This window comes from Homo sapiens, chromosome 7 (assembly GCF_000001405.40).
Source record: "Homo sapiens chromosome 7, GRCh38.p14 Primary Assembly".
NCBI lineage: Eukaryota > Metazoa > Chordata > Mammalia > Primates > Hominidae > Homo > Homo sapiens.
Genome location: NC_000007.14, coordinates 141,024,023 through 141,038,069, shown reverse-complemented (window position 1 = coordinate 141,038,069; position 14,047 = coordinate 141,024,023). Strand labels below are relative to the sequence as shown.

General features: G+C 40.4%; 1 annotated feature.

Annotated features, from left to right (window-relative positions):
- Positions 13,015–13,215: a silencer, noted in NCBI's record as "peak6793 fragment used in MPRA reporter construct". NCBI's record gives its function as "represses an SCP1 promoter by STARR-seq MPRAs in K562 erythroleukemia cells {active_cell/tissue: K562}" and the evidence as "EXISTENCE:reporter gene assay evidence [ECO:0000049][PMID:32103011]".

Sequence of the window (14,047 nt, the reverse complement as noted above, 5' to 3'; positions counted from 1 at the left end):
GGTATTTCTAGTTCTAGATCCCTGAGGAATCGCCACACTGACTTCCACAATGGCTGAACTAGTTTACAGTCCCAGCAACAGTGTAAAAGTGTTCCTATTTCTCCACATCCTCTCCAGCACCTGTTGTTTCCTGACTTTTTAATGATGGCCATTCTAACTGGTGTGAGATGGTATCTCATTGTGGTTTTGATTTGCATTTCTCTGATGGCCAGTGATGATGAGCATTTTTTCATGTGTTTTTTGGCTGCATAAATGTCTTCTTTTGAGAAGTGTCTGTTCATGTCCTTTGCCCACTTTTTGATGGGGTTGTTTGTTTTTTTCTTGCAAATTTGTTTGAGTTCATTGTAGATTCTGGATATTAGCCCTTTGTCAGATGAGTAGGTTGCAAAAATTTTCTCCCATTTTGTAGGTTGCCTGTTCACTCTGATGGTAGTTTCTTTTGCTGTACAGAAGCTCTTTAGTTTAATTAGATCCCATTTGTCAATTTTGTCTTTTGTTGCCATTGCTTTTGGTGTTTTAGACATGAAGTCCTTGCCCATGCCTATGTCCTGAATGGTAATGCCTAGGTTTTCTTCTAGGGTTTTTATGGTTTTAGGTCTAACGTTTAAGTCTTTAATCCATCTTGAATTAATTTTTGTATAAGGTGTAAGGAAGGGATCCAGTTTCAGCTTTCTACATATGGCTAGCCAGTTTTCCCAGCACCATTTATTAAATTGGGAATCCTTTCCCCATTGCTTGTTTTTCTCAGGTTTGTCGAAGATCAGATAGTTGTAGATATGTGGCGTTATTTCTGAGGGCTCTGTTCTGTTCCATTGATCTATATCTCTGTTTTGGTACCAGTACCATGCTGTTTTGGTTACTGTAGCCTTGTAGTATAGTTTGAAGTCAGGTAGTGTGATGGCTCCAGCTTTGTGCTTTTGGCTTAGGATTGACTTGGCGATGCGGGCTCTTTTTTTGGTTCCATATGAACTTTAAAGTAGTTTTTTCCAATTCTGTGAAGAAAGTCATTGGTAGCTTGATGGGGATGGTATTGAATCTGTAAATTACCTTGGGCAGTATGGCCATTTTCATGATATTGATTCTTCCTACCCATGAGCATGGAATGTTCTTCCATTTGTTTGTATCCTCTTTTATTTCATTGAGCAGTGGTTTGTAGTTCTCCTTGAAGAGGTCCTTCACATCCCTTGTAACTTGGATTCCTAGGTATTTTATTCTCTTTGAAGCAATTGTGAATGGGAGTTCACTCATGATTTGGCTCTCTGTCTGTTCTTGGTGTATAAGAATGCTTGTGATTTTTGTACATTGATTTTGTATACTGAGTCTTTGCTGAAGTTGCTTATGAGCTTAAGGAGATTTTGGGCTGAGACAATGGGGTTTTCTAGATATACAATCATGTCATCTGCAAAGAGGGACAATTTGACTTCCTCTTTTTCTAATTGAATACCCTTTATTTCCTTCTCCTGCCTAATTGCCCTGGCCAGAACTTCCAACACTATGTTGAATAGGAGTGGTGAGAGAGGGCATCCCTGTCTTGTGCCAGTTTTCAAAGGGAATGCTTCCAGTTTTTGCCCATTCAGTATGATATTGGCTGTGGGTTTGTCATAGACAGCTCTTATTATTTTGAAATACGTCCCATCAATACCTAATTTATTGAGAGTTTCTGGCATGAAGGGTTGTTGAATTTTGTCAAAGGCCTTTTCTGCATCTATTGAGATAATCATGTGGTTTTTGTCTTTGGCTCTGTTTATATGCTGGATTACATTTATTGATTTGCGTATATTGAACCAGCCTTGCATCCCAGGGATGAAGCCCACTTGATCATGGTGGATAAGCTTTTTGATGTGCTGCTGGATTCGGTTTGCCAGTATTTTATTGAGGATTTTTGCATCAATGTTCATCAAGGATATCGGTCTAAAATTCTCTTTTTTGGTTGTATCTCTGCCTGGCTTTGGTATCAGAATGATGCTGGCCTCATAAAATGAGTTAGGGAGGATTCCCTCTTTTTCTATTGATTGGAATAGTTTCAGAAGGAATGGTACCAGTTCCTCCTTGTACCTCTGGTAGAATTCGGCTGTGAATCCATTTGGTCCTGGACTCTTTTTGGTTGGTAAGCTATTGATTACTGCCACAATTTCAGATCCTGTTATTGGTCTATTCAGAGATTCAACTTCTTCCTGGTTTAGTCTTGGAATGTATCCATTTCTTCTAGATTTTCTAGTTTATTTGCGTAGAGGTGTTTGTAGTATTCTCTGATGGTAGTTTGTATTTCTGTGGGATCAGTGGTGATATCCCCTTTATCATTTTTTATTGCATCTATTTGATTCTTCTCTCTTTTTTTCTTTATTAGTCTTGCTAGCGGTCTATCTATTTTGTTGATCCTTTCAAAAAACCAGCTCCTGGATTCATTAATTTTTTGAAGGGTTTTTTGTGTCTCTATTTCCTTCAGTTCTGCTCTGATTTTAGTTATTTCTTGCCTTCTGCTAGCTTTTGAATGTGTTTGCTCTTGCTTTTCTAGTTCTTTTAATTATGAAGTTAGGTTGTCAATTTTGGATCTTTCCTGCTTTCTCTTGTGGGCATTTAGTGCTATAAATTTCCCTCTACACACTGCTTTGAATGCGTCCCAGAGATTCTGGTATGTTGTGTCTTTGTTCTCGTTGGTTTCAAAGACATCTTTATTTCTGCCTTCATTTCGTTATGTACCCAGTAGTCATTCAGGAGCAGGTTGTTCAGTTTCCATGTAGTTGAGTGGTTTTGAGTGAGATTCTTAATCCTGAGTTCTAGTTTGATTGCACTGTGGTCTGAGAGATAGTTTGTTATAATTTCTGTTCTTTTACATTTGCTGAGGAGAGCTTTACTTCCAAGTATGTGGTCAATTTTGGAATAGGTGTGGTGTGGTGCTGAAAAAAATGTATATTCTGTTGATTTGGGGTGGAGAGTTCTGTAGATAACTATTAGGTACACTTGGTGCAAAGCTGAGTTCAATTCCTGGGTATCCTTGTTGACTTTCTGTCTCGTTGATCTGTCTAATGTTGACAGTGGGGTGTTAAAGTCTCCCATTATTAATGTGTGGGAGTCTCAGTCTCTTTGCAGGTCACTCAGGACTTGCTTTATGAATCTGGGTGCTCCTTTATTGGGTGCATATATATTTAGGATAGTTAGCTCTTCTTGTTGAATTGATCCCTTTACCATTATGTAATGGCCTTCTTTGTCTCTTTTGATCTTTGTTGGTTGAAAGTCTATTTTATCAGAGACTAGGATTGCAATCCCTGCCTTTTTTTGTTTTCCATTTGCTTGGTAGATCTTCCTCCCTCCTTTTATTTTGAGCCTATGTGTGTCTCTGCACGTGAGATGGGTTTCCTGAATACAGCACAGTGATGGGTCTTGACTCTTTATCCAATTTGCCAGTCTGTGTCTTTTAATTGGAGCATTTAGTCCATTTACATTTAAAGTTAATATTGTTATGTGTGAATTTGATCCTGTCATGATGATGTTAGCTGGTTATTTTGCTCGTTAGTTGATGCATTTTCTTCCTATTCTCGATTGTCTTTACATTTTGGCATGATTTTGCAGCGGCTGGTACCGGTTGTTCCTTTCCATGTTTAGCACTTCCTTCAGGAGCTCTTTTAGGGCAGGCCTCGTGGTGACAAAATCTCTCAGCATTTGCTTGTCTGTAAAGTATTTTATTTCTCCTTCACTTATGAATCTTAGTTTGGCGGGATATGAAATTCTAGGTTGAAAATTCTTTTCTTTAAGAATGTTGAATATTGGCCCCCACTCTCTTCTGGCTTGTAGAGTTTCTGCCGAGAGATCTGCTGTTAGTCTGATGGGCTTCCCTTTGAGGGTAACCCGACCTTTCTCTCTGGCTGCCCTTAACATTTTTTCCTTCATTTCAACTTTGGTGAATCTGACAATTATGTGTCTTGGAGTTGCTCTTCTCGAGGAGTATCGCTGTGGTGTTCTCTGTATTTCCTGAATCTGAACGTTGGCCTGCCTTGCTAGATTGGGGAAGTTCTCCTGGATAATATCCTGCAGAGTGTTTTCCAACTTGGTTCCATTCTCCCCGTCACTTTCAGGTACACCAATCAGACGTAGATTTGGTCTTTTCACATAGTCCCATATTTCTTGGAGGCTTTGCTCATTTCTTTTTATTCTTTTTTCTCTAAACTTCCCTTCTCTCTTCATTTCATTCATTTCATCTTCCATTGCTGATACCCTGTCTTCCAGTTGATCGCATCGGCTCCTGAGGCTTCTGCATTCTTCACATAGTTCTCGAGCCTTGGTTTTCAGCTCCATCAGCTCCTTTAAGCACTTCTCTGTATTGGTTATTCTAGTTATACATTCTTCTAAATTTTTTTCAAAGTTTTCAACTTCTTTGCCTTTGGTTTGAATGTCCTCCCGTAGCTCAGAGTAATTTGATCGTCTGAAGCCTTCTTCTCTCAGCTCGTCAAAGTCGTTCTCCATCCAGCTTTGTTCCGCTGCTGGTGAGGAACTGCGTTCCTTTGGAGGAGGAGAGGCGCTCTGCTTTTTAGAGTTTCCAGTTTTTCTGTTCTGTTTTTTCCCCATCTTTGTGGTTTTATCTACTTTTGGTCTTTGATGATGGTGATGTACAGACGGGTTTTTGGTGTGGATGTCCTTTCTGTTTGTTAGTTTTCCTTCTAACAGACAGGACCCTCAGCTGCAGGTCTGTTGGAGTACCCTGCCGTGTGAGCTGTCAGTGTGCCCCTGCTGGGGGGTGCCGCCCAGTTAGGCTGCCGGGGGCCAGGGGTCAGGGACCCACTTGAGGAGGCAGTCTGCCCATTCTCAGATCTCCAGCTGCGTACTGGGAGAACCACTGCTCTCTTCAAAGCTGTCAGACAGGGACATTTAAGTCTGCAGAGGTTACTGCTGTCTTTTTATTTGTCTGTGCCCTGCCCCCAGAGGTGGAGCCTATAGAGGCAGGCAGGCAGGCCTCCCTGAGCTGTGGTGGGCTCCACCCAGTTCGAGCTTCCCGGCTGCTTTGTTTACCTAAGCAAGCCTGGGCAATGGCGGGCGCCCCTCCCCCAGCCTCGCTGCTGCCTTGCAGTTTGATCTCAGACTGCTGTGCTAGCAATCAGCGAGACTCCGTGGGCGTAGGACCCTCCGAGCCAGGTGCGGGATATAATCTCGACGTTTTTTAAGCCCGTCGGAAAAGCGCCGTATTCGGGTGGGAGTGACCCGATTTTCCAGGTGCCGTCCGTCACCCCTTTCTTTGACTAGGAAAGGGAACTCCCTGACCCCTTGTGCTTCCTGAGTGAGGCAATGCCTGGCCCTGCTTCGGCTCGCACGTGGTGCGCGCACCCACTGACCTGCGCCCACTGTCTGGCACTCCCTAGTGAGATGAACCCGGTACCTCAGATGGAAATGCAGCAATCACCTGTCTTGTGCGTCGCTCATGCTGGGAGCTGTAGACCGGAGCTCTTCCTATTCGGCCATCTTGGCTCCTCCACAATATATTGTTAATGATAGTCACTTGTTGTACAATACATCTCTTGAACTTTCTCCTATCTGAAATTCTGTATCCTTTAACCATCTCCCCAACCCCATGCAACTGCCCCAGCCCCTGATAAGTACCATTCTACTCTATACTTCTATGAGATCAACATTTTTAGATTCCACACGAGAATGAGAAGATATTTGCATTTTTGTGCCTGACTTATTTCACTTAGCATAATGTCCTCCAGGTTCATCCATATTGTCACAAATGACAGCATTTCCTTTTCTTATGGCTAAATTATATCCCATTGTGTATATGTTCCACATTTTCTTTTTCCATTCATCCACTGATGGACACTTAGGTTTGATTCCATATCTTGGCTATTGTGATTGATGCTTTAATAAACATAGCAGTGCAAATATCCTTTTGACATACTAATTTCATTTCCTTTGGATATATACCCAGTAGTGGGATTGCTGGATCATATGGTAGTTCTATTTTTAAGTTTTTGAAGAACCTCCACGCTACTTTCCATAATGGTTCACACAACCATTTTTTAGATCAATTCAGTGATGCCTAATAAAGTTGAAAGTTATATCCTTTAAACCAGTGATAACATTTCTAGGTGCCTTACCTAAAGAGATTCTTATGCATATGCTAAAGGTGACTTATAGAAAATGTTCATTGGATCATTGTTTCTGATAACAAAAGATAAAAAATGGAAACAACTGTCCCCTTATTGTAAAAAGAATAGCTAAATAACTGTAATTTATTCATACAGTGGAATACTCTACATAAATTAAAATGGATGAATTAGATCTGTATATATTAACATGGATTAATCTCAAAAACACAATTTTAAGTGATTAAAGCAAGCTGCAAAAGATTCATACAGAATAATAGCATCTATATAATTTTTAAATAAAAAATAGTTGTATGTATATTATTTACAGATACATACATATGTCCTAAGAGTTAAAATGGACACCTGAGAATAATACACACCAATTTCAGAACAATGCTTATCTCTGGGAAGAAAGAAAGTGAGAGAAAAGGTAGGAGGGATAGAACTTCAGCTATATCTGTACCACCTTTTACAGAGCAAAATCTAAATTTTAAAAAGGAAAAAGTAAAGGAGGCATTCATTCAAAAAGCTATAAAAAGAATATCTCTTTTTTAACAATTCAGGTTTCTTGTGATGTAATTCCATGCCATAAAATTCAGCCTTTTTAGGTATACAGTTTGATAAGTTTGGGGAAACATATTCTGTTGTGTAACCACTAACATAATTTAAAAACATTTCCATTACCCAAAATGTTCCTTCATGCCACCTTTGTGTTCAATCCCCTCCCTTCGTGTCCAGCCATTGACAACCACTGATCTGTCCCTATAGTTTCCAGTCCTTATGGTATTACCTTCTCCAGAATGTCATATAAACGGACTCACACAGCATGTAGTCCTTTGTGTCTGGCTTTTTTCACTAAGCATAATCATTCTGGGATTTATTCACACTGTGGTTATGTATCAGTAGTTTATTCCTTTTTATTACTTAGTAGTATTCCATTGTATATAGGTACTACATTTGTTTATCTCTTCACCAGTTGATGGACATTTAGGATGTTTCTCAGTTTGGACTATTATGAATAAAGTTGCCATAAAAATTGGGGTACAGGTTTTTCTGTAAACATATTTTTTCATTTCTCTTGGGTGGAATGGAATTGTTGGGCCTCTTGGTAAGTATTTTTTACCTTTATCATAATCTGCAAATTGTTTTCCAAAGTGGCTGTACCATTTTTCAATCCCATTAGCTCCACATCCACATCAGCACTTTTTATTGTTTGTTTTTAATTTTAGCCATTCTACTCAGTATGTTGGCTTTAATTTGCATTTCCCTAATAACCTATGGTGTTAGGCATCATTTCATGTGCCTATTTCTCATCTGTACTTCTTTGGTGAAGTGTCCACAGCATTTGCCCATTTTTTTGGTTGTTGTTTTGTTTGTTTGTTTGTTTGTTTTGAGAGGGAATTTCATTCCTGTCACCCAGGCTGGAGTGCTATGGTGCGATCTCAGCTCACTGCAACCTCTGCCTCCCAGGTTCAAGCAATTCTCCTGCCTCAATCTCCCAAGTAGCTAGGATTACGGGTGTGTGTCACCACACCTGGCTAATTTTTTGTATTTTTAGTAGAGATGGGGTTTCACTATGTTGACCAGGCTGGTCTCAAACTCCTGAACTCAGGTAATCCACCCACCTAGGCCTCCCAAAGTGCTGGGATTACAGACGTGAGCCATCACACTTGGTTTGCCCAAGTTTTAATTGGGCTAATAATTGGATTGATTGTCTTAATTTTTAGTTGTAAGAGTTACTTAATATTCTGGGTACAAATCCTTTTCAGATATATTTTTGCAACTATTTTCTCCCAGTTGTGGCTAGTCTCTTCATTTTTTAACAGTTTATTTCAAAGATCAGAAGTTTTTAAATGCTGATAAAGTACAATTTAACAATTTTTTATGGTTTATGTTTTTCCTGTCCTATCAAATCCAAGAACATTTTGCCTAACCAAATTTCACAATAATGTTCTTATATGCTTTCTTCAGAATTTTATAGTTTTAGCTCTTACATTTAGATCTGTGTGTGATACAGAACTGTCTGAATCAAATCAAGTTGCTAGCCTGCTAAAACAAACAAACAAAAATCAACATTCTCTAGAGAAATTAAACAGGCCTGAGAGACCTCACAATATAATATTCAGATTTTCCAGGATACAGTCCATGATTACTCAACATAGAACCAACAAACTGTGAAAAATCTCAAGGAAAAAGGAAATCAAGAGATCACTACCTCAAGATTACCCAGATGTTAGAAATATCAGACAAAGACATTAAAGCCTATCACATCTATGTTTCATGAGGTAAAGGTAAACACTCCTTAAGTGAATAGAAATACAAAAGTCATCAGATGCTGGGTGCAGTGTTTCATGCATGTAATCCCAGCATTTTGGGAGGCCAAGTGGGGAGGATCACTTAAGCCCAGAAGTTTGAGGCTGCAGTGAGCTATGATTGTGCCACTGTACTCAGCCTGGGCAACAGAGTGAGACCCTGTCTCTAAAAAGAAGAAAAACATTAAAAAATTTAATTTTAGAATGCGAACAGAAAAAAATAGAATAACAAATAATCAAATGCAAATTTTAGGACTAAAAAATATAATACATGAAAAAGTCATTGATTGGGCTCAATAGCTGAATGGAGATAATGACAAAGGAAAGAGTCAATGAATGTGAAGATGGGTTAATAGACATTAATCTGAAGAACAAAGAGGTAGGGGGAAGAAATGAACAGAACATCATCAAATTATCTAACATTCATTTCACTGGAATCCAAGAAGGATAGGAAAAGTAAATTGGTTCAGAAAGAATATTTGAAAAAATAAAGGCCAGAACTTCCCTAATTTGATGAAGGACTTAAATTATAGATTAAAGCAGCTTAGAATCCCAAACAGGACACCTCCAAAGAAAATCAACTGTGGCCAGACACATCAAAATCAAACTTCTGAACACCAAGTTTTATTATTCTTGTTGTTGATCTTGAAAACAGCCAGAAAGAAACGTGGCACATTATATAAAGGGGAAGAACTATTCAAATGACTGCTGATTTTACATCCGAAATCATGGAGACCAGAAAACAGTGGAACAACATCTTTAAAGAACTGAAAGAAAAGAATTGTCAAACCAGAATTCAACATTTGCTGAAATTATCCTTCAGGAATGACCGTGAGATAAAAACATTTTTACATGAAGAAAAAAAAGAGAGTATGTAACCAGCAGACCTGCTCTAAAAGAAATGTTGAAAGTTCTTCAGGGCAACAAGAAATTATATTCAAGAGGGACACTTGAAATTTTAAGAATAAAGGAAGAACAACAGAAATGGTAAATATCTGGATAAATATTTTTGTCCTTTAATTTATTTTATTTTGTTTTAATTTATTTTAGACAGAGTCTTACTCTGTTGCCCAGGTTGGAGTACAGTGGCGTGATCTCAGCTCACTGCAACCTCTGCCTCCTGTGTTCAAGCAATTCTCCTGCCTCAGCCTCCAGAGTAGCTGGGATTACAGGCGTGAGCCACCATGCCTGGCAAATTTTTGTATTTTTAGAAGAGACAGGGTTTCACTATGTTGGCCAGGCTGGTCTCAAACTCCTGACTTCAGGTGATCCACCTGCCTCAGCCTCCTAAAGTGCTGGGATTGCAGGCATGACCCACCATGGCTGGCCCTTTTAATTTATTTAAAATAGATGAGACTATTAAAATAGACTGTTGAAAGCAAAAATTATCACATCCCCTGGTAAGAGTTCTAATATATGCAGATGTAATACTTAAGACAACACTAGCATATAAAGGGTGGAGGGTAAATGGAGTTCTATGGTTGTAAGTCTTGAAACAAGAAACTGAGGGAACATAGGAAATAAAGGACCTGGGGGGATGCAAAAACTCTTTGATAATATGTCTTTATATATCTATGCACTGTTAAATCCTTTCACAAAAAATTGACATTTTTAACTGTGCTGATGTAAGAGAAAATGTATTTAAATTCATTTGATAAGATAATTTTTCCTACATTGCTAAGTTTTATTTCTCTTTTACTAATCAACTTCTTTGTATAAAATAGTATGCAACAAATATATGAGAAGGGAGTAACAGAAACAAAAAGGAAGAAAAGGTTATTTGTAGTAGTATGTACCACCAGAAGAAAACTTTGCTTTCCTGTATCCATAACTTTGATTAAAACTACATAATGGTTGGGCATGGTGGCTCCCGTCTGTAATCCCAGCACTTTGGGAGGCTGAGGCAGGTGGACCACCTGAGGTCAGGAGTTCAAGTCCAGACTGGCCAACACAGTAAAACTGCGTCTCTACTAAAAATACAAAAGTTAACTGGGTGTGGTGGTGCGTGCCTGTAGTCCCAGCTACTTGGGAAGCTGAGGCAGGAGAATCACTTGAACCCAGGAGGCAGAGGTTGCAGTGAGCTGAGATCGTGCGGGCAGGTGGGGAGGAGCAAGTCCTGAGGGCCCTGCTTGCTTTCTCACTGGGGAGGCTAGTAGCCTGGAGCAAGATCTCAGCCCTGCTTGCCAGCTGTCTGGATATAAATTTAGTGCTGTTGGTGGGGCACAAAGGGAGTGAGAATAGCTTTGCTGGCTATGGGAGCTGGGTGAGGCCTGTCACTGCTGGCTTTCCCCACTTCCCTGGTGACCTGTAATGATGCAGCAGAGACAAATACAATCCCCCTGGGAACATAATTCTATTGGCCTGAGAAGCATCCCCCTATCCCCCACAGTGGCACAGCAAGTTCTGCCCAAGGAGAGTCTGAGCTCAGACACGCCTAACACTGCCCCCTCCTGATGGTTTTTCTCTACCCACCCTGGCAGCCAAAGACAAAAGACATAAACTCGTGGGAGCTCTATGGCCCCACCCATGACCTGAGAAAGCCGATTACTTATCTGGCAAATGTAGGGCAAGCTTATATCCCCCTTCTACTACTGCAGGTGGGGCTCTCTTGAAAGCACCACCTCCTGGCTGGAGGCCAACCAACTCAAGCCATTACAGCAACTCATAAGAGAACAATCCTGCTCCAAAGAAGGAGAAAACAATAGCTAATTCCACCACCTGCAACATCCTGGCCAACCAGAGGTCCCGAGTCTATCTGTGTGACAACTTCACTGCTAGCATAACCAGCATTCGAGAAAACCAGCACACTAAACAAAACTACAACCAAGGACTTTAACTGAGTCTAAGTCTACTTCACTCCCCTGCCACCTCCACCAGAGCAGGTGCTGGTATCCACAGCTGGGAGACTTGAAGATGGATCATATCACAGGACTCTTTGCAGACATTGCCTAGCACCAGCCCAGGGCTCAGAAGGGCAATAACAATCACTGCAGTCTAGCTCTCAGGAAGCCCCATTCCTAGGGGAAGGGGGAGAGCACCACATCAAGGAATTACCCTGTGGGACAAAAGAACCTGAACAGCAGCCCTTGAGTTCCAGATCTTTCCACTGAAACAGTCTGCCCAAATGAAAAAGAAACAGAAAAGTAAGTCTGGTAATATTACAAAACAAGGTTCTATCACACACTCAAAAGATCACACTAGCTCTCCAGCAATGGATCCAAACCAAGAAGAATCTCTAAATTGCCAGATAAAGAATGCAGACAGTTGATTATCCAGCTACTCAAGGAGGTAACAGAGAAAGGTAAAAACCAATTTGAAGAAATTTTTTTTAAAAAAAACAGGCCGGGGGAGGCATGGTGGCTCATGCCTGTAATCCCAGCACTTTGGGAGGCCAAGGTGGGAAGATTATCTGAAGTCAGGAGTTCGAGACCAGCCTGGCCAACATGGTGAAACCCTGCTCTACTAAAACTACAAAAATTAGCCAGGTGTGGTCATGGGCAACTGTAATCCCAGCTACTCAGGAGGCTGAGGCAGGAGAATCGCTTGAGCCCAGGACGCAGAGGGTGCAGTGAGCCGAGATCATGCCACTGTACTTCAGCCTGGGTGACAGAGCAAGACTTTGTCTTAAAAAATAAAAAAAGCCAGGCCTGGTGGCTCACGCCTGTAATCCCAGTACTTTGGGAAGCCAAGGTGGGTGGATCACGAAGTCAGGAGATCGAGACCATCCTGACTAACATGGTGAAACCCAGTCTCTACTAAAAAACACAAAAAACTAGCCAGGCAAGGTGGCAGGTGCCTGTAGTCCCAGCTACTCAGGAGGCTGAGGCAGGAGAATGGCGTGAACCTGGGAGGCGGAGCTTACAGCGAGCCGAGATCGCGCCACTGCACTCCAGCCTGGGCGACAGAGTGAGACTCCATCTCAAAAAAAAAAAAAAAAAAACAGGTCAGGCAGTGACTCACACCTTCACACCTGTAATCCCAGCACTTTGGGAGGCCGAGGTGGGTGGATCACCTGAGGTCAGGAGTTCAAAACTAGCCTGGCCAATGTGGGGAAACTCTGTCTTTACTAAAAATACAAAAACTATCCAGGCATAGTGGCATGTGTCTGTAATCCCAGCTACTCGGGAAGCTAAGGCAGGAGAATTGCTTGAACCTGGGAGGCAGAGGTTGCAGTGAGCCAAGATCATGACACTGCACTCCAGCCTGGGTGACAAAGCGAGACTCCTTCAAACACACACACACACACACACACACACACACACACACACACACACACACACATACACTACAGGATATGGATGAAAAACTCTCCTGAGAAACAGACATCATAAAGAAAAGGCAATCACAACATCTGGAAATGAAAGACACACTTAGAGAAATGCAAAATACACTGGAAAATTTCAACAATACAATCGAACAAGTAGAAGTAAGAACTTCAGAGCTCAGAGACAAGGCTTTCTAACTGACCCAATTCAACAAAGACAAAGAAAAAAGAATTTTAAAAAATGAACAAAGCCTCCAGAAATTTGGGATTATGTTAAGCAACCAAACATAAGAATAATTGGCCCTCCTGAGGAAGAAGAGAAATCCAAAAGTTTGCAAAACATATTTGAAGGAATAATCAAGGAAAATGTCCTTGGTCTTGTTAGAGATCTAGACATCTAAATACAAGAAACTCAAAGAACACCTGGGAAATTCATTGCAAAAAGATCATAACACAGGCACACAGTCATCATGTTATCTAACGTCAAGATGAGGGAAAGAATCTTAAGAGCTGTGAGGCTAAAGCATCAGGTAACATATAAAGGAAAACCTATAAGATTAACAGCAGACATCTCAGCAGAAACCCTGCAAGCCAGAAGGAATTGGGATGCTATCTTTATCCTCCTTTAACAAAACAATTATCAGCCAAGAATTTTGTAGCTGGCAAAACTAAGTTTCATAAATGAAGAAGAGATAAAGTTTTTTTCAGACAACAAATGCTGAGAGTATTCACCACTACCAAGCCAGCACTACAAGAAATGCTAAAAGGAGTTGTAAATATTGAAACAAAACCTTGAAGTACACCAAAATAGAACCCCTTTAAAGCATAAATCTCACAGGGCCTATAAAACAATAACTCAATGAAAAAAATGGTAGTCAAGCAACAACTAGCATGATGAAGAGAACAGTACCTTACACCTCAATACTAATGTTGAATATAAATGGCCTAAATGCTCCACTTAAAAGATACAGAATGGCAGAATGGATAAAAATCCACCAACCAAATATCTGCTGTCTTCAAGAGACTCACCCAACACATAAGGACTCACATAAACTTAAGGTTAAAGCATAGAAAAAAATACTCCTTGCAAATGGAAACCAAAAGGGAGCAGGATTAGCTTTTCTTATATCAGACAAAACAGATTATAAAGCAACAACTGTTTAAAAAGACAAAGAGGGATTATTATATAAAAATAAAAGGATTAGTCCAACAGGAAAATATCACAATCCTTAATATATATGCACCTAAAACTGGAGCTTCTAAATTTATAAAACAATCACTACTAGACCTAAGAAATGAGATAGCTGGCAATACAATAGCAGTGGAAGACTTCAGTACTCCACTGGCAGCACTAAACAAGTCAAGACAGAAAGTTAACAAAGAAACAATGGACT